At 38.4% G+C, this 21,373-nt stretch overlaps 1 protein-coding gene across 4 annotated transcripts in view; it reads right to left on the bottom strand.

The window, feature by feature from the left end:
• The window catches only part of CNTN1 (contactin 1), a 379,977-nt gene extending 363,621 nt beyond the window's left edge, over nucleotides 1-16,356 (bottom strand). For all 4 annotated transcript variants that reach the window (XM_011537926.4, NM_001843.4, XM_024448843.2 and 1 more), the window contains exon 1: nucleotides 16,203-16,356. The gene's annotated coding sequence lies outside the window, so the exon portion shown is untranslated. The remainder of the gene's footprint in view (nucleotides 1-16,202) is intronic.

Raw genomic sequence — 21,373 nt, 5'->3', positions numbered from 1 at the left:
CTTATGGATGAAAGTGGTTCTTGAGATAGAATCTCCTCCTCTTGAAGATGCTGTGAACATTGTTGAAATGGCAAGTAAGGACTCAGAATACTACATAAATTCAGTGAATAAAGCAGTAGCAAGATTTGAGAGATCAATTCCAATTTTGAAAGAAGTTCTACTGTGGGTAAAAGGCTATAAAACAGAATTGCATGCTACAGATGAGTCAACTGATCTCACAAACCTCAGTGTCATCTTTTTAGAAATTGCCACAGCCACCCCAACCTTTGGCAACCACCACCCTAAATCAGTCTTCAGAAATCAGCATCTAGGCAAGACCCTCTCCCAGCAAAAAGAGATTATGGCTGGCTGAAGGCTCAGACAATTAGTAGCATTTTTCGTAACAAAGTATTTTTTAATTAAGGAGTGTACATTTTCTTAGACATAATGCTATTGCACACTTAATAGACTACAGTACAGTGTAAACATCACTTTTATAAGCATTGAAATATCAAAAAATGTGTGTGACTCTCTTTATTGAAATACTGGCTTTATTGCAGTGGTCTGGAACTAAACCCACAAAAGCTACAAGGTATGCTCATAGCTTGCCAGAAACCCAATAGTTAATTAAGAAATGTTAATAGAGAGTCTTAGTGGTACAATTTTGACTTCCAAAATGAAAGCATAGTATGAGTAATATACCATAAGTTCTCTTTAATGTAAAATTTAACAAATGGAAGAAAATGTAACTTCAAATTATATTCAAAATTCTGGATCATAATATAATTTCTATTTGAGAAAAGTATCTAGGACTAAAAAGTCATTGGAAGAGTTAATATTATAAAATAATGCATCAATTTTTGATAACAGTTATGTAAAAATTACAGCAAGTGGCCTTTGCTCTTAGTTTGTACATAAATTATGCTTCATTTTGCAGCCACATTGAGAATTTGGTTGACTAAAAATATCTTACTTTAAAATTAGCAATATAGAAACCATCTTTCCAATGGCCACCCAAGAAACTGAAGACTTCAAAGTATTTTTTATTCCTCATATTTTCCTCTTCATCTCACAATGAAACACTTCCTTTAGAGACAAATCAGTCACTCATTATCAGTCATCAAAAAAAATATCTGGACAAGCACAGTAGATTAGAACATTTTGTGCACTGAAATAAATTAGTATTTAACATGAAAGGAAAGGGATGCTCAGATTGGCTAGCAATGTTTGTAAAGAGCCATCCTTTGTTAGAAAAGAAGAAAGATAATAGAAATGAAAGAGGAAGCCTGTAATCCCAGCCCTTTGGGAGGCCGAGGCGGGCAGATCATGAGGTCAGGAGATCGAGACCATCCTGGCTAACACAGTGAAACCCCGTCTCTACTAAAAAATACAAAAAACAATTAGCCGGGTGTGGTGGCAGGCGCCTGTAGTCCCAGCTACTCGGGAGGCTGAGGCAGGAGAATGGCGCGAACCCAGGAGGCGGAGCTTGTAGTGAGCTGAGATTGCACCACTGCACTCCAGCCTGGGCGATGGAGCGAGACTCCGTCTCAAAAAAAAAAAAAAAAAAAAAAAAAAAAAAAAAAAAAAAGAAAAAGAAAAGAAATGAAAGAGGAAAAGGAGAAAAGCAATGAACAGAGTAAGAGAAAGAAGTAATGGTGATGGCTCTGGCATTGTGGTGATCCTTGAGGTATTTAAAAGCAATTCTATAGTCTTAATCTGAGCAGGGGTGTGTGTGTGTGTGTGTGTGTGTGTGTGTGTGTGTGTGTGTGCGCAAGCGCGCGCGCGCACGTCTTTATATGTATGTTTTGTTGAAGCACAAGCATTAACTCCATCTAGGTTGATCAAAATTTTTGTTTCTGGAATGTGCTCTTAGAAGCAACAGAGACACTGTTAGAAATGCAGATTCCTGGGTCCCATATCAGATCTACTAAGCCGGAGTCTGTAGGGATGAGAGTCAGGATTCCTCCTTTTTAACAATCTCAGGTAATTCTTATGAACTGTAAATATTGAGAACAGCCAGTGCCTTATAATGTATCAGTTATACAGCACATATATTATCATGATCATATCTACCAATATGGAAGAAGTAGTGTGGGCATCTGCTAATAAATAGACAACCTTCCTCTGGGATTTTCAGAATATGAAATATTATTACAAAAGAACATTTCTAAAATATTCTCTTTGTTTACTTAAAAACATCCAAAACATTACTGTGTTTTGAGGGGTCCTATAAGTTTGAGGCAGTGTTCTAGGCATTGAAGATTCAAAATAAAAATTGAAAAGACATATTCTCCACTCTTACAATCTAGTAAAGAAAGGGAGACATGGACATAAGTATGGATAATGAAGTGTTAAAGAGGCTATGTGAGAAGTTTATACAAGATACACTAGGAACGTAGGAGGGAGGTGTCGATCTGCCTGGGAGAAGTCAGGCCAGGAGAACCTTCCTGAAAAATGGCATGGAGGAACCTTGAGAAATGAGCAGATGTTTACCAGATATACAGTGAAGACACAGGCAAAGATTTCTCTCTGGTTAAAGCATCAGGGGAGGGGGGAGGGAAAGCATTAGGAGATATACCTAATGTAAATGACGAGTTAATGGGTGCAGCACACCAACATGGCACATGTATACATATGTAACAAACCTGCACATTGTGCACATGTACCCTAGAACTTAAAGTATAATAAAAATATCTATATATCTATATATATATATATAAAGCATCAAATGATATAGTTTGGATCTCTGTTGCCACCCAAATCTCATGTCAAATCTTAATACCCAATGTTGGAGGTGTGGCCTGGTGGGAGATGATTGGATCCTGGGGTAGATTTCTCATGAATGGTTTAGCACCAACACCTTGCTGCTGTCTCAAGACAGTGAGTGAGTTCTTTTGACCGATCTGGTTGTTAAAGCATGCAGCACCTCCCCGCCACTCTCTCTTGATCCTGCTCCTGCCATGTGAGATACCTGCTCCCTCTTTACCTTCCACCATGATTAGAAGCTACCTGAGGTCTCCTCAGAAGCAATGCCTGCATTATGCTTCCTGTACAGCCTGCAGAACCGTGGGTCAATTAAACCTCTTTTCTTTATAAATTACCCAGTCTCAGGTATTTTGTTATAGCAATGCAGGAATGGACTAACACAACATGGGAGATATACCTAATGCTAGATGACGAGTTAGTGGGTGCAGCGCACCAGCATGTCACATGTATACATATGTAACTAACCTGCACAATGTGCACATGTACCCTAAAACTTAAAGTATAATAAAAAAAAAAGAGATGTTACTTTTGCCCAGAATTCTAAAACCTATTATTAAACATTGAAAAAAAAAACTGTGATCTGATGTAGATGGAATAATTCTCTATTACTACCCATCATCAACAACGCTTACCCCATCTCAAACACAAGGAAGTTTATGATAAGTAAAGTATATAAGCATACGCAAGCTGAGCAGAAGGTCTATGGCAAACATGAAGCAGAAATAATTCATCAGGATTCAAATAGTGGTGTCAACTGCAAGCAATTGGGAAGGAAAATATTCTCTGGATGAAACAAAATCCTGGAGAAAAGGCTGACAAATTTTAATTCCCTAATGAAACAAATAATAGGCAATCATTAGCTTCGAGAAATACCACTGTTTTTGGATGCTCAAAAAGGACCAGTATTGTCAATATACCTTGGCATGACACTTCCCTGAACAATGAAGGCACTAAAAAGAGACAGAAAGTAAAGAGGAAACAAAGAAGAAATTACACTTGCTATATATCAGTAAATCTTTGTGACTTCTCAATATATAATGTTATCAGAGTATCAGAAAATAGAGGGATTTTTATTGCAAGGATAAGCTTTTCACATGTTGAGCAATGATTCTCTGAGCACATTTCAGTATGACTAACAATCATTTAGGTCAGTAGCAATGGCAATTTTTCCTCTTTACAACTAATCACTTTACCATTGTAAAAATAAATAAGACAAAAAAATTCTCAGCCTGGTGATGTGAGGCATGAGAAGTTCCAGGGAATAGCATTTTATAGAAACCATCAGTTTAAAATATCTCCAAAATCCAAGTTTTACTGTACATCTTTTCCTTAGTGATTTAGTCATATTGTAAATGACTATTTCTTATACCCCCATAACAGATATGATTGTATACAAACAGGAAACCATACGTGTTTATAAAAATAAGCAAGGTAGTATTCTAAGCCATAGCTAGGGATAAAATCCTAAGTCTAGGACATCCGTGAATTTTTATGGCTTTTAAAATATATGTGTCTTAGCCAAAATCAAGAAAGAAGCTGTGAAATCAAAGAAGCTGTGAAAAAGATGAAGATGAAAAAATATGACTCTATGTTTAATTATCTTTTCTTAACTACTCAAAGGGAGTTTTCATAAGATACCTAACAGCAAGATGAAGTCAATAATAAAATTACTACTAGATCTTATTAAAAGATAATTTGGAGAGTATAGGCCTGCCAATTTTTCAAAATTTCTTTTCTTATCAAGAATGATCTAGATATGCTGTTTCAAATCTAGACTTATTTTAACATTTTTGAAATTACAGCCCTTTCATAGCTAGTGTCTTTTACTTTGTTAAATCCTAAAAAATAATTATGAAATCTGATTAAATCACTGCCTTTCTTTAAACCATTGCTCCGAGAATAAGACACATACTTCAACACTTTAAAGAAACTTTCTTTTTCTGCTCTTCAGCCATTTGTCTTGCTACTGTATAATTTATACTATACCATATTTCTTTATTTCTTTTTGTTATTTGAACCAGTCATGCTGTTCTTTGCCTCCAGGTCTTTATTTGTCCTCTGCATAGAACAATTCCCCTAGCATGTTGGCACCCATTTGCAGTTTTGAACTACCTTTTTATCTATTTTACACACTTAGTTTAGAAGACTCTTGAAGGCAAGAGAAAGTCTCACTTAATCATTACTGTATCTCTAGCCCCAATGCAACGTCTACCACATGGTAGATCTGCATTTCTGTTCTCTCTCTCTCCCTCCTCTCACCAACAATATAAATGAAGGAAAGAAGGAAATATTATTCACGTCACTTCTTTCCATTTCTAACTAGCAGAAGAGACTACTTTGTAGATTATTCATAGGAAACAGGCCCCTTTACATGTCTAGAAACTCTTCTCACTGAAGAACAAGCAGCTTTGAGAGGGTCATAAATAGGTCAGTGAGAAACAGGCACCTGCCTAAGTAGCCTAATTCCCTAAATCAAACCTGGAAAACAATCAGATGAGAGCGATATAGCAAACTTAACTTCCATATCTATTTTCATGACTTCGGAAAATGAAGGCACACAAAGTAAGAGGAACTGAGTAAATTTTCCAAAATTACGTATCTACTACGTGCCAGAATATAGATTTAAATCTTTATCCATTGAAAAGCTGTAATACTAAAAATAACGATGAAAGCAGGGGAGTTTAACTTAGGATCCACTTAAATTAACTGAAATGTTTTTACAAATCCAAAAATAACTGAAATATTTTTATATAAAATAGCAAAATTTAGTCTATAGGGAAATACCAAATGTTATGTTTTATGATCTCTTTAGCACACAGCTATGCTTCATTTATATTATTTTTTCAGTAATAATTTTATTTGGAAATACAAAATCCAAACATATTTGAAAGACTGATAATAGTACTAGGGAGAATATGCAAAAGCAGACATTCTTATTCATGTTTCTAAGATTATAAATTACCATAGTAATTTATACTATATAATTTATAGGGCAACTTGGAAATATCAATAATCTGTAAAAAATATATATATACCTCTTGGCTAGCAATTTCATTCTGGAAATATCTTAGAAAAATATTCCCAGGAATATACAAAACTACACGTAGAATAATGTTTCTGTAGCATTCTTTTTTAAAAAACATTGGAAACATTACCCAAAGTTCCAACAATGAGACAAATAAATTGTGTTTTATGCAAAGGGTTACTATGCAAGTGCTGAAAAGAATGTGTTGGCACTATACTATGTGGAAAGAAAAAGTTGTCCAAGATAAAAGGAAGTGGCAGAACACCGTATATAGCATAATTCAATTCTGGGCCAGGCACAGTGTCTCATGCCTGCAATTCCAGCACTTTGGGAGGCTGAAGTGGGTGAATCACCTGAGGTCAGGAGTTCACGACCAGCCTGGCCAACATGGCCTCTATTAAAAATACAAAAAATTAGCGGAGCATGGTGGCAGGCTCCTGTAATCTCAGCTACTTGGGAGGCTGAGGCAGGATAATCACTTGAACCTGGGAGGCAGAGGTTGCGGGGAGCCGAGATCGCACCATTGCACTCCAGCCTGGGCAACAAGAGCGAAACGCTGTCTCAAAGAGAAAAAAGAAAAAGAATGTCTAATAAATTTGAAAACATGCATAGGAGAACTATCAGTAATAACACAAAACTGGAAACAACCCAAGTATTCAACAATAGAATAAATATGTATATTTTGGGGGCATTCATTCAATAGAATTCTACAGTACAATGAAAATAAATTATTGCTACATGCAAGAATATTGACACAGCTCACAAAAAATTTTGAACAAAAGGAATCTGGGCCAGGCATGATGGCTCATGCCTGTAATCCCAGTACTCTGGGAGGCTGAGCAGGGAGGATCGTTTGAGACCAGGAGTCCGAGAACAGGCTGGGCAACAGAGCAAGACCCTGTCTCTAGGGAAAAAAAAAAAAAATCCGATACAAAAATGCATACTTCATGATTCCGTTTATGTAGATTCTAAAAACAGACAAAACTATTCTACAGTCTTATTAGTCAGAAGCTATCTTTGGAGAACAGTAAGGCGATAGTGATTAAGTGGGGCTGGAAGCGGGGTACCTGGGTGCTGACAAGATTCTTTCTTCTGAAATGAGTGTTGATTTCATAGTATGAATACTTTGTTATAGCTCATTGGGCCAAATGTTTTCTGTATGTCTGCCATTCTTTAATGAAAAAGGGAAAAGGAAAGAATGTAATAATACAGTGTTTTACTTAAAGTTGATGTCTTAGGTTCATTACCACTCAACTTGTGCAGAAACCAAAATTAGAAAATAACATTTTTTGAGAAACCAGGTTAATTTTCAAGCAATCTGAAAGTTGTTATGCTCTCCAAAATAATATAAGTAGACCAAAAGAAAAATAAAGTCAATCCATTAGGCATTTACAAATATTTTAAATTATATTACACCACATTTAATGTATAAAAATACTCTACAAAGGAAAGTTTTATCTGAGATAAAATTCTATTACAGTAAACAGCTTTTCAAGCTAGAATATTATAAATATTATTTATAATATTCATCTTGTCTGTTACAGTTAACAAATCTGTACTTTTAGTAACCATGACAATTAAATACTATCAGATTAGAAGCCTTAGGAGAGAATTACTGTTTATGGTTTGAGATGTTAGAAAGCAAAATTAGGGCAGAAATGCATAAAAACTTCTGGTGCTTGTGTCAAAATTCAAATGATTGGCCTATTAGAGGCATATTTAAATGACACATTGTAATGGTCCAATTCATGCTTGGGAAACTGCACCATGTAAATTACTGTAGTGAAAGATATCAATAAGATATTCATAAATAAAACATATGCAAATTTAGAATGATTTAATTCCTTGTATTAATACTAAATTTATTTGAGGGTCTAGGGATAGATTCCGGTCACTTAGAATAGCAGCATTTTAAACCGTGACTCACAAAGTACTAAAACCAGCTATCATGAGCACTGGGGGTTGGTGCTGAATAACACAGCAATTAAAAACTTGGACTTCAGAGTCAGACAATCTGGGTGTGAATTCTAGCCTCTCCATGCATTAACTTTTTAATAACTAACTTCCCTGATCTGCAAAATCGGAATAATAAACTTTAAAAATCCTTTTCACTGGTTTTGTAAAGTTTTGAGATGGTCATGTGCAACACATTTTTTTTTAAATGCCCAACACAGAGTGAGTGCTCAATAAGTGATTGTTAGTAATTGAGGTGCAATTATAGAGAAGATGTTTGCACAAGTCAATTTTTAAAAATCAATCTTATATCTCGGTGTTTGTAATTTTCAAACTAGGATAGATTGCCATTCTTACTAAGTACCCATCTGTTTTTCATAAATTTCTTTTTCATCACTTGTGCTATTTCCTAAAAAATGCATTTGACCTATCTGGTTCTCCAAGATTACACAGAATATATGCTAAGCCAAAACCTGAAGACTAAAGTTGAACATTGTCTACTAAACAAAGAAAATCCAGTTTATTTTTTATTTTTTTTTTTATTTTGAGACAGAGTCTCACCCTGTCACCCAGGCTGGAGTGCAATGGCATGATCTCAGCTCCCTGCAACCTCTGCCTCCCGGGTTCAAATGATTCTCCTCCCTCAGCCTCCTGAGTAGCTGGGATTATAGGCATGTGCCACCATGCCCAGCTAATTTTTGTATTTTTAATAGAGATGGGGTTTCACCATGTTGGCCAGGCTGGTCTCAAACTCCTGACCTCATGATCTGCCCGCCTCGTCCTCCCAAAGTGCTGGGATTACAGGCGTGAGCCACCATGCCTGGCTGAAAAAAATATTTTAATAATTCAAGTTTTAAAAAAAAAGTAAGGGAAAGAGCATTGTACTTGTCACCTAATATAAAAGGCAAATACTTCAAAACAAACAAAAGAAAGGGTAATATGGTGTGTGTGTGTATGTGTGTGTGTTCTAAATGATCAAGTAACTAAATATAAGACTTTAAAATATGTTTAAAGCAAAAAGTTCTGTCAGCTGGTTTCTTCTCAGATTACTAAAAATCTAAGTAAAAACCCTATATAGGTAATAATGCAATACATTTTTACTAGATTGCTCAGGACTTTCAGGGGATTATTATTATCAAGATTGTTGTCCTTAACCTAGACAAAATCATGGCAGTCATCTCTCAGTGAAATGTTCTGGGCCAACCATAACACATGGGACACTCAACTATGAGCAAGATCATCTTACTTGTCCAGATTTGCCACTAACGTGTAACCTTGGGCAAATTAGTTACTTCTCTGAGCTTTTTTTTTTTATCTGTAAATGTGGATAACCATGCCTTTGAATCTAACTTTCAAAACTGTTACGAAGGATCAAATAAGGCTATGCATGTGACCATGCTTTGTAATCTACCAAAGATGACACCAATGGAAGACCTTTTATTAAATAAAGAAAAGTGAAATTAACTTTGCCATTATTTAATTCCAACACAGCTAAATTTATACATCGACATTATCCATGTAACTATGCATTCCTCTTTCCTTTTAAAATGCAGAATTATTTAAAAGATATTTATTGACTGATTTAGCAATTTGGAATTATTGGCTGTCCTAGGCATGCTTTTCATTACAAAATTCCTCATTAAAAAAAAACTCTCTTTTATTTACTCTGTATAAATCAACAAAACCAGGAAGTTAATTTTTGAAATATTGTGAAGATTGACATAATTTTTAGCTTTTATTGATTGGTTTCCAGGGTAAAGATATGAATCCTTCATTTGTTGAAATCCTAAAAACTAATTTAGTCTTAACCTTCTTTTATTCATTTCTTCAGAAAATATTTATTAAGTATCAACTCTATGTCAGGTCCTCTATCAGACACAAAGAAAAATAACATATGGTGTCTATCCTCAAGGACTTACGGTGGAGGCAAGAGACAAGTAACCAATCAGTACAATATAGTATGGTAAGTGACACGGCAGGGATATCCACAGGGAGTCAAAATTTAAGACTGGGAATTCAGGGGAAGTCCTCCAAGAAATGGTGGCACCTGACCCAAGGCATGAAAAGGTTAGGTCAGTTAAAAAGCAGACAAGAAAACAGGTTATTTATAGTAGAGAATAGAACATGGGGAACATGGGAGGGTGTTGCGAGAAAAGAGGAAACAAGATGCATTAGGAGAAGGCAAACCGTTCAGTTGATTGACATTACGGGAGATTGGAGATGGAAGAAATTTGATTAATCAGAAAATGAATCTAGAGAAGTTACCACGTACCATTTAATAAAGGACTTTAGGTGCAATGCAAAAGACTTCAGACATCTTACTAATACAAAAAAAGGGGAACTAACTCAAAAAATTTTCAGCAGAGGAAGAATACGATGAAATTGGTTTTAGAAAGACAACTGTGGTTATGACATATAGAATGTACTTAGAAGAAGGCGACTATGAGGGAGGAGAATGAAATAGGGACTTCAAACTCTGAATATGTTTCTTACACAGAAAACAATGTTGTAAAAAAATTTAAGTGGCTGGTCTCATGGCCGGTCATGGTGGCTCACGCCTGTAATCTCAGCACTTTGGGAGGCCGAGGCGGGCGGATCACAAGGTCAGGAGATCAAGACCATCCTCGCTAACACGGTGAAACCCCATCTCTACTAAAAATACAAAAAAATTAACTGGGCGTAGTGATGGGCACCTGTAGTCCCAGCTACTCGGGAGGCTGAGGCAGGAAAATAATGTGAACCCAGGAGGCGGAGCTTGCAGTGAGCTGAGATCACGCCACTGCACTCCAGCCTGGGCGACAGAGCGAGACTCCGTAAAAAAAAAAAAAAAAAAAAAAAAAAAATTAAGTGGCTGGCCTCAAAGCACGCTGCTAGTAACTGACTGAGCTAGGTTTCATGCAAAGCTCTGCATAACTCTTAACACCTATGCTCTGGAGAACCGGGCAAACCTGCCTCTCATAAAAGAAACTAAAGCAACCAGCCCTAAGCAAATTGAGTAGTAACAAGACAGTGCAGGAAAAGTGGTGACATGCTCAGGTCTACACCATCAAAATCAAGTACAGGAGTGAAAAATTATCTACTGAGTTAAGGACCATCTGGATAATCCTGGCAGAAGCAGATTTAGTGCCTGAGTCATTCAGATAATTGTGCAAACAATGTGCCCTGCTCTGGCTGAGTAACCTGGCCATTAATATCTTCCATAGTGCATTCTGCCCTGTGGCTCTTTTAAAATGGACAATAGTAGCTCAGAAAGAATTAAGGTACTATTCACTTCATGGGAGAGCTGCCTAAAGAATAATAGGATCTTAATAGACTGAGTGGATTTTATGTGTCCCCAGAGCCATTTCGCACTGGGATATACATATGATATACATAAGCCAGATTCTGCTTCAAAGGAGGAAAGAAGTTCAGCAATAGCACCGTCACATGTTGTTTTTATATTCAATTCTCCGTTAAGTGGTAGAAAGTTTTCTGAACCTGAAAGCTACAAAGAGACACTACTGCAAATAGATTTATAAACTACAGTAAAGCTATACATTTCTGTGTGTTAGAAAGCATTTTTTAAAATGCAAAGAACAAGATGCAGACAATTTTTGCAGTATACCTCAGATTTCCTATTACATGAAGAAAATATGAACACTCCAATAAAGAGTCAAATGAAATTCACAAATTAAAAAATACAAAGAACCTATAAATATAACATTTTTGAACTCATCCAAAATCATAGGAACAATAACTCAGAAGAATAACTAGATACACAATTTGTACTATCAAAATGATCCCAATTTTTAAAAATAATATCAAGTGTTAATGAGAGTATGGCCAAACTGGTACAACCACTGGTAGAGAATAAATCTGTGCTTACATTTTGGGGGAAGCAATTTGGCAGTAAGTGTTATGAGGCTAAAAATATTTACACTTTTGCCTGGGTAACTTCTAAGGTGTCATAAGGAAATGGTCAGAAATGCAAATATTAATGTATACAAAGGTTCATGTTCTTGACGATGCAAAACTGAAAACAATCTGAAGATCTATCATAGAATATTGACAGCCAAAAAACACATGGATAGTAAGAATATTAAATGAAATGAATAAATGTTTATGGTATATTAAGTTTAAAAAGCTAAATACAAAAGTGAATGTTCACTGTAAACTCAAATCTATAATTGAAAAATACCTATTTATATTAATAGAAATAAGACTAGAAGATTGAAATAGGATCTCTTTGTACTGCGGAATTTGGTGGATTTTTCTTTATTCCCAGTATTTCTTTAATGATTTTAGATGTCCTTATAATAATAAGATATTATTTTCAATTGAATATTAAATAGATAGACTTTTGAGTGTAACTTTACACAGTTGGTCATTCATATTATTGAAGTGAAATAATGCCCCATCCTCCTGCTGCTACATTTCCAAGGTCACACAACGGATCAGTCCTGTTGTCAGGAGTTGAACCTGAGTCTCCTGCTCCAAAATCAGTGCTTTTTAAGATACGAACTAAAGTACAGTGAAAGTTTCAAAGGAAAGTAGAAGCACTAATGAAAATTGAAAACACATTATACCAATAATACATGGCATCTTAGATTAAAGCAGATAGACTTATAAATTGGAAGTTTTGATAACTTGCCTACTGGACTCATCCAGGCATGGAGTGCCAGAAGAAACTAGTGCTGGAATAAGCAGAGAAAGATACAAATTAGAGTTGAAAATAAAAATGAATCAATTACTGACTATATGGTGAACACTTGGACTAGAGGAAAGAAAGTCTTAAAAAGTAACTAACCACAAGCCAGAAAGCCTGTAAAGTTGTAGTCTCCATTGATAAAAGCCAGTTTAGGAATGATGCCTATTGATGGGGAAAAAGCAAAACCAGTTTTCACCTTGTGCATTACAATTGCTACAATAGCACTTCTATTATTAATAGCTATTCTTTATGAGTAATTACCATGGGCCAAACCTTATTTTGAATGTTTAACACGCATTATCTCACTTAATATTTTACAAATCACAAAATCCTCTCACGTAAGTGCTATGATAATCCCCAGTTGACTTGCTGATGTTCGCTTAACTGCATCATGATACATAAATATTAACACCTGCAGGCTTCCTCCCAAAGCCTGTGCTCTTAGCCGATAGGGTAAGTGTAAAGGAAATGGCTAATGGGAGGGAGATTAGGAATGGAAATGCAGAAGGAGAACTTTATTTTCAATAAGATAAATTGTCATCAATTTGGGGGATTTGCTTGAAAGCTAGAAGTAGAAAGAGAAGATAAGAGGGAGACAAAGAAAGGAAAGTTAGAAAAATTAAGAAAAAAGTACGCTATCAGAGCATTGTGGTGTCAAGGAGCAAAATTTCAAGAAGATGGACAATATGGAAAATAGAAGGTCAGAAGAGAACAATCGATAATACATCAATAAAAAGAAAACAAACATTGGAATTGAGGAGGAGCTTACTGGTGAGTTAGAATAAGTTGTGGGATATGATAGAGACCATGGCCAATTTACATGTAGAAATAGATGGAAATTGGAGAATTTGTTGATTTTTTTTGAAATAAGGCAATTACAGGACATATTTTGTATACAGAAATATAAATTGTCTATTTCAGCTCTTCCTAGTTGGTCTCAAGGGACACAAGATACAAGAGAATACATAGAACCAGTACATAGTCATAATCCCTACTGTAGAACCGAGTCATTCTATGAAAAGATATAGAAACACCTTATGTCATCCATTACTCCTCATGGAGAGGATCATAAAGCCAGAGGAAGTTTCCTCCCAAGGCATAGCCTTCTACCAAAAAAATATCCCCAAATCATTGCTGCACCCATCCAGCTTCTTAGGATGATGCTTCCTGAACAAGAATCTTTAAGGCTACTTATTATAGGACTGTGTTCAATGTGGTGGGGTATACAAAAAGATTATAAGTGTAGTCTTTTTCTGCAAAGTACTTCCTAATTAGAAAACAAATCAGACATACAAATGAGGATTAAGCAACAAAATAAGACTAAGTATGATTAAGTTCCCAAGTGAAAATAGTCTACTAGAGATTCTGAAGAGGAGTGATCGTTTTGTTAGAACCATGAATTTTAAAATGCATTTAGTTGATACATACCTATGTATTGTTATTATTACCAGTAGCCCTGTTTATTAATGACCCACTATGCGCCCATCCCCATGATAGAAACATGCATGCTTTTTATGGCCCTCATAGCAACCTGAAATTTCAATGCTATAAAATTCCTTTTGAAGACAAGAAAACAGATTCTCAGAGTTTAATTATCTTGCTCCAAATCAGATCATCAGGAAGTTGCAGAGCAAAATTAAAAGCCAGCTCGCACTGCCTATGATGGTAACTTGGTAGATTAAATAATTTATCTTCAAAATGACTTGGCAAGTTAGAATTTTGTTCTTAAAACACAGAATTAAATTTTGTAGGGATACATGTCAGACTAGAACCGAATAAACTTGGTTTATATTGTTCCTGGTATCAACATTAACCACATTTTGTTGCCAGGACCAAAAATCCTGGGAAGCTAAAAAGTATTCTATTTGAGGGGAAACTGCTATGCAGTATAATTACACGGCAGGTTGTTGGAATATTAAAGTTTTCAGAAGACTTTCAACCAATCACTTGTGTCTTCTGAATCTTAGTTTCTTCATCTGTGAAAATGGAAAGGTTGTCATCAGGAATAAGTAATTTCAGGGAATGGCAAAGATAAATGCACATACATCAATCTATAAAAGAAAGTTCACATAGTACAAATAGATGTGATATGAAAAAGCAGTACAAATTTAAATATCAGGTCCACATGTAAAATCTGTACAAAGAAATACCTCACATCTACCCCCGCAAGGGTTCTAGCAGTTCCTTAGTCCTGGAAAGTGGGTGGATCCATTCCCAGATCCCCAAATGCTGTTAGCCATAAGTTACCACTGAAATAAATTTACTACCAAATAACCAAACCATTATGCCGAGTCTAATAAAATATCCCAGATACGGCATGTATTAATTTGATTTGCGTTACACTTCGGGCTGGTAAGGTTCATATGTACACTTAGAAACCGAAAAATGCGGCGAAATGGATGAAGATTATATTGGCACTCTAAGAATGTTTGCAAAATACTGAAATATTGAAAACATGAAATATGACATATTGAAAACATGAAATATGAAATATTGATCTTTACGTGAGTTACAAAAACATTATTTCACGCAGGGTTTCAGCAGTCTGAATGCTTCTTCTCCGGCTTTTCCCCCAATGGAGAATTGGATTCCCTTTTGCCCCGCCCACTCAGTGCTTCCAGATTGCTTGAGAAGGCCAAGGCAGCCGGCTCAGCAGCAGGGAAGCCGGGCTGGGTATGCAGGAGCTATATATAGCTCCACCTTGGAGATGTGCACACACAAGCACACGTACGAATACCCATGCCCGGTTTGGCATGAAAATAAATAAATAAATAAGGAAAGGTCGCAGCTATCCGCTTTCCCTCTTTCCCATCATCCCAATTTTTCAGGAATTTTCAAAGCAGGGTGTCATCAGTCCCAGAGGGTGATGCAGCGTCGGATCTCTCTGCAATTCTTCTGCCTACTGCTCCCAGCAATCTGACTCCTGCAGGAACCGGCACTGGGCCAACACCTACTACCCAGATGCGGTCACCTAGGGAGGCAGCCTCGCAGCCGCTCGGAGCCCATCCGGGCACAATCACTTGACTCCCTGGAAATCCCTGAAGCCAAATCCACCTTTCAGAAACTAGGTGTGAAGGTGGTTCCCGTAGACAGCGCCAGGCTAGGAGGGAAGGGGCCGTGGCTCCGCGGTCTCTCCCTCCCACCTGCCGCAGATCGTGGAGAAGGGCCGGTGCCTTCTCAACGGAGACGTAATTAATCGGAACGTGCCCTTCGAGTTGCAGGGATTCTTCCCCACCCCCATCTCCTGAAGGGAGCTAGATCTTAACAGAGGGGTCAGGGGACAAACAAGTCGCTTCCTCCCCTCTCCGCAACCGCTCCCAGGTTTTCCGGGATGCGCTAGCCAGGCGCCCAGGTGGGATGGGAAAGATGAGCAGGTGCGGGCCGGCGTCGGGAGAAAAAGACCTGCAGGCCCCGGGCTGCCGACCTCTCTGCTTCCCCACCCCTCCCCTGCCGAGGCGATATGGCATCCCTGGGGCGAGTTCCCGGCGCTGGCGGCGGCAGCCTCCGAAAGGAAAGTTGACGAGACACAGACCCCGAGCTCGGAGCCCTCTTCTAGGGCACTGCCGTCCTGCCTTGCCCGGCACCCCAGGGCTCCGGCATCCCGCACCCCTGCTTCCCCGCACCCCAGCCACCTCCGCCCCAGTCCTTCCCGCGCCGCACGGCGAGAGCTGCAGGGACCACAGGAGATTTGGGGGTGACGAGGGCTGGGCGGGGCTGGGGGAAGGGAAGCAACAGCATGGAAATGCGCATTCTTTATTTTATCTGCAAAGAAGGAAAAGTCCAGCTTCCTACCTGTTCCCTGCTCCTGCTCGCCTCGGTGCGGCACAGCTGGACCATACCCTACAGGTTTCCCACTTCCGCTGCAAACACCTGGGAGCGCATCTCCCCACCGGCGCCCCTCCTCGCCTCGGCGGAGCCCACCCTGGCTACTTGACAGCAGAAGCCCGGCCTTTTAGGGCGGTTATTGGGGCAGCAGGGAAAGTGGGGCGGGGACCACAGGGAAACCCGCTTCTCTGATTGGACAACAGGGATATCACTCTCACCCCCAGGACCAGCGCAGGCTGCAGACTTGGGTAGCTGCTAAACCCAACTGCAAAGGGTCTCTGCAGTGCCTGAAACCCAAACCTGCTGCTACCGGATCAAGGACCCTTGCTGGAGAGAAACTGGTTTGATGACTTGTCATTTGGGGCCCCAAGAGGGAGGGAGGGTCCAGGCATAACTAGACACCCAGCACTTTCCTGAAGCTTCCCTGAAGGGACCATCTGCTCCGGGAGATTTGTCAGGCGAAAATACCAAGCCAGCGCCTCATAGAGAAGAATGAGCTTCGATTAGGAAATAATAAGATACTTATGTGGGAAAAAATACACACACAGAAAGGAAAATAAAACGATGTGAGGTTTTTTTTTAAAGTTTCCATTTTTGTCCAGATGTAACATGGCAGTTTTTCTTGAGAAAAGACGGAATTGCTTAGTCTGTAATGCAGAAGACCCCCTAATATTCCCTGGTAGAAACAGTGTTTTAAACGGGAAAGCACTGCATAATAACCTCTCAAAAAAAAAAAAAGGGTAAAAGAAATTAAGGCCAAACTGCATGAGAGATTTGCTTTGGGGCAGTTCAGTTTGTGGCAAAAGTCTTAAAATAATCACCATTAGACTGATTGATAATTAAGTGATCTGTTACTTTTCTATTGATAGTAGTTTATCATTTCTTTAGTACTCAGACACTGAGAGGATGTTTATGCCCCCAAACCTAAGTGATCCCAAGCCTGCCTTTTATGTGAAGGGAACAGGGTAAAATAACTTTGTGTCCAGTTGCCATCTCTGCCATTTATTCAGGTGGAATCTGGAAATTTTGGAATTCAAGAGACTCCTTAAATGAAGGAACGTGCTAGAACTACCACGTGTAAAACTGGGAGTGTAGGGTGTCTTAGTATATAGTACCATGTGAGGAATCAAGTTGCCTTCTGCCTGCAAATAGCCACATTCTTCTTCTATCTGAATTAAGTAGCCATCTTAAGTGCTGAGCATAAGACACAACTCTCATTCTCACAGAGCTTCAAAGAGCTTATGACAGGCTTGGGACACTGGACAACTGTTAGAGAAGATGACATTGCTATTAATAAATATAGACTCTACTTAGTGGTTACGGTTGTTATTACTATCATCAGGTAAGGCTCTTCATAATGTTTTCTTCATAATACTGAAGGAATCCGATTAATGCATTTGAAGGTGGGGGCCGGGCGAGGTGGCTCATGCCTGTAATCCCAGCACTTTGGCAGGCGAGGCAGGCGGATCACAAGGTCAGGAGATCGAGACCATCCTGGCTAACACGGTGAAACCTCGTCTCTACTCAAAAAAAAAAAAAAAAAAAAAAATACAAAAAATACAAAAAATTAGCCGGGCATGGTGTTGGGCGCCTGCAGTCCCAGCTACTCAGAAAGCTGAGGCAGGAGAATGGCGTGAACCCAGGAGGCGGAGTTTGCAGTGAGCGGAGATTGCGCCACCGCACTCCAGCCTGGGCGACAGAGCGAGACTCCGCCTCAAAAAATAAAATAAAATAAAATAAAATAAAATAAAATAAAATAAAATAAAATAAAATAAAATAAAATAAAATAATAAAATAAAATAAAATAATGCATTTGAAGGTGGGAAGGGACCCTGGAGAAAATTTACAGTGAACAAATAGATATTATTTGTGTGGTGACAACCATCTTAACACTGAATGGAAATGACTAAATATGCCGTGGCAAAATTTCAGAACCCCTGTGTCATTTCTTACACAATACTCCTATTAGTCATGCACCTCTGTCCCAGGTACTCACACCAGTTATTCCATTGGATTGGCCAAATCATTCATGAATTACTGAGTACTTTTTCAATGCCATACCCTGTGTTAGGTGCTACAGAACTAAAGCAGAATAATGTATTGGACACATTAAAGATGATCTCAGGAAGCAATTACAATAGTAATATTTCTAAGGAATGTGTGTTTGCAACACGAACATCTTTTGATTCCTAAGCATAAATTATTTTGAGTCAAAATGAGCTTCAACATACTCTCCTCTAGAGGTAATCAGAGGAGAAGAAAAAGTATCAAAGAAAATACCTAAATATTGAAGACAACACAAGAATTGAAATTGGTAATGAAAAGAAAACTAAAGACATCTCTGCTATCTGCGTTCTTTCATTGCTTCACTCATTCATTCCTTCAACAAATATTACTATTATAAATGTGATGGTGAATAAAATAGGCAAGCTCTCATGGAACACATTCTTTATTCTTCAAGCAGACAATGTTACTTTGTGCATTTACTGTGATCTAATTAGCAGCTTTGTGTGTACATGCAAACACAACTCTGGAACAGTATTAAGATAATTTCTCTCTGGATCAGGCATCTCACACATTTTCAAGTAAAACAGAGCATTTTCAGGTTATTGCTTATTATCTCAAAGAGAAAAACCTGTACATATGTTCCCACAATACAAATGAATATGTCAAAGGTATCTGCTGCTGCAGAACATTTTAGATTTTCCAAATCACTTTCAGATACAATTTCCCTCTGTGTTCTAAAATAAGCAGGAGAGTCATCATTAGTCGCATTTCACCATGAGGAAATTGAGTAACCAAAGAGAAATGTGGTCCTTCAAAAACAAAGGCAGTAAACTATTATAGGTGGGTATATAATGCTTGGCATATTGCAGACATCTAATATGTATTTGCTGACAAATATATGGTTTTGAAAATATGAAAGTTTGAAGGATCTTAGAAAGTATTGAACTCCTTGTAATGCCAGCACTTTGGGAGGCCGAGGCAGGCAGATCATCGGAGGTTGGGAGTTCGAGACCAGCCTGACCAACATGAAGAAACCCAGTGTCTACTAAAAATACAAAATTAGCTGGGCATGCTGGCCCATGCCTGTAATCCTAGCTACTCAGGAGGCTGAGGCAGGAGAATCTCTTGAACCTGGGAGACGGAGGTGGTTGCGGTAAGCCGAGATGGCACCATTGCACTCCAGCCTGGGCAGCAATGGGAGCAAAACTCTGTCTCAAAAAAAAAAAAAAAAAGAAAAGAAAAAGAAAGAATTGTTGAATTCCACTCATTATTCTGTGAGGGAGGGACAGAATTTGCTTAAGGTCATGTGACTAGTTAGGGGAAAGCTGCAGCTAGACCCCAGGTCTTAAGACTTCATTCATTACTTTTTCTACCACATGAACAATAAGAGTTTTGGTATTTCTTTCAGCAGAGTTCCTTCTCTTTTTCCTCCCTGTATCATCCAGCCTTTTGATGTTTTCAGGACTGATCCAGCTGGTGTACTCATCTTCCAGCGTCTATAAAAATATGTGAAAGCATGCCACTTTAACTATAAATTCAGCTCAGATTCAACGTGCTTGTAAGTTTGAGGTCGGCTTCATGAGTATGGGATCAGAGTCATCAGGACTGGTGTCGAGGTATGAAGAAAGCTGTTGGAAAATGAATGGCCAGCTGGCACTTCTGTCCCTAAAATTAGGAAGAAGGGAATTATAGAAACAATAGTCTGAAGGCTTCCAATCTGGCAGTCTGGTATAGAACCTGTCTGCAGATCTTCAAAAGAAACAGTAGGACAATTTTGTCATGTGCCCTGGATGGCTCTGACTCCCTAGTCACTTACAGAGTTCCATAGTACAATTTACTGGGCATTGCTTTGCTAAACTGCCCTTGGCCTTATTGAATTCTCCTGTCTTCCCCTCCTTTTTCCACCCTGCACTGGCCCTCCTTCTTCAAACATTCCAATTTCCTCCAACTAGTGATTAAACCTCAGTGAAGGGAAAGGAAACTACAGCAACAGTGCAGCTTTCCACAGCATGTACTCCCTTTCTTTCTCCTCTGCTCCGCCCACCGTTTCCTCACTTCTCCAGGCTTCCCAGAACAATTTCTAACATACTCGATATGGCAAAAAAGCAGGAGAGTAAGGAAAACGGGCCTTTTCCAATTAATATTTTAAGCTGCAATTACCACAGCAGAAAGGTAACCAAGGTTCTGCCTGCTGGTTTAAAGAGAGTCATGCTAAACCCAGTCTGCAGCATCTCAGAGATCACGTCAGCTCACTGACCTAGCTTTTACATAGCCAACTGGGAATCCAGGCAATGGGATGGATGCACAGTGCACCAAGCTTGCATGCACACACACACACACACACACTATCAGTGCCACGTGGTGGGGAGACCAGGACGGGAAAGTTTTTGAATACTAAATACTGCATATATATTAAACGGCAGCAACTTGCTACTCATGCAGAGCCACTGTAATCTTTTTAGGGATTAAGAGTAATATTTGAATCTCTTAGCTTTAGCAGTAACTGCTATGCACCAAAAGAGCAAATTTACAGAAAAGGACACATGCTAATATTGCAAGGACATCTTCACATCTATTGTTTCACAATGGAGTCCTCTAATTTATCTTTCATGTTGCCCCATTTATATAATAGGAATCAATGTATAATGTAACAAAAGGATGTGTTACTCCTTAGTTCATAGCCACTGTGTCCTCAAATTCTTTCAACTCATACAACTCATGGGGAGTGGCCAATGCTCAATTCAGTTGTTTAAATTGTAGCTTTAGTCTCCTTATTCATGGAAAGTCAGCAGTCAGATATTATTAGTGAACTCCCACTCTCAACCTTAATTAATATGTCCTTTCCTTTCATTACCAACTCTCATTATAGACACTGAAAATCCTATTTTCTGAATAGCTCTTTGAAATAATGGATACCTTCACCCTCTGAAGTGGATGAAAGACTGGACGTTAGAAGACCTTTTATCTTAGTCTGTTTTGTGCTGCTATGACAGAATACCTGAGACTGGGTAATATATGAAGAACAGAAATTTATTTCCTACAATTCTGGAGGCTGGAAAGTCTAACATCAAAGGGCTGACATCTGGTGGGGGCCTTCTGCTGCATCATCCCATGGCAGAGGGAAAAAAGGA

Source organism: Homo sapiens, chromosome 12, assembly GCF_000001405.40.
Source record: "Homo sapiens chromosome 12, GRCh38.p14 Primary Assembly".
Lineage (NCBI taxonomy): Eukaryota > Metazoa > Chordata > Mammalia > Primates > Hominidae > Homo > Homo sapiens.
This window is presented reverse-complemented; position numbering and strand designations above follow the sequence as displayed.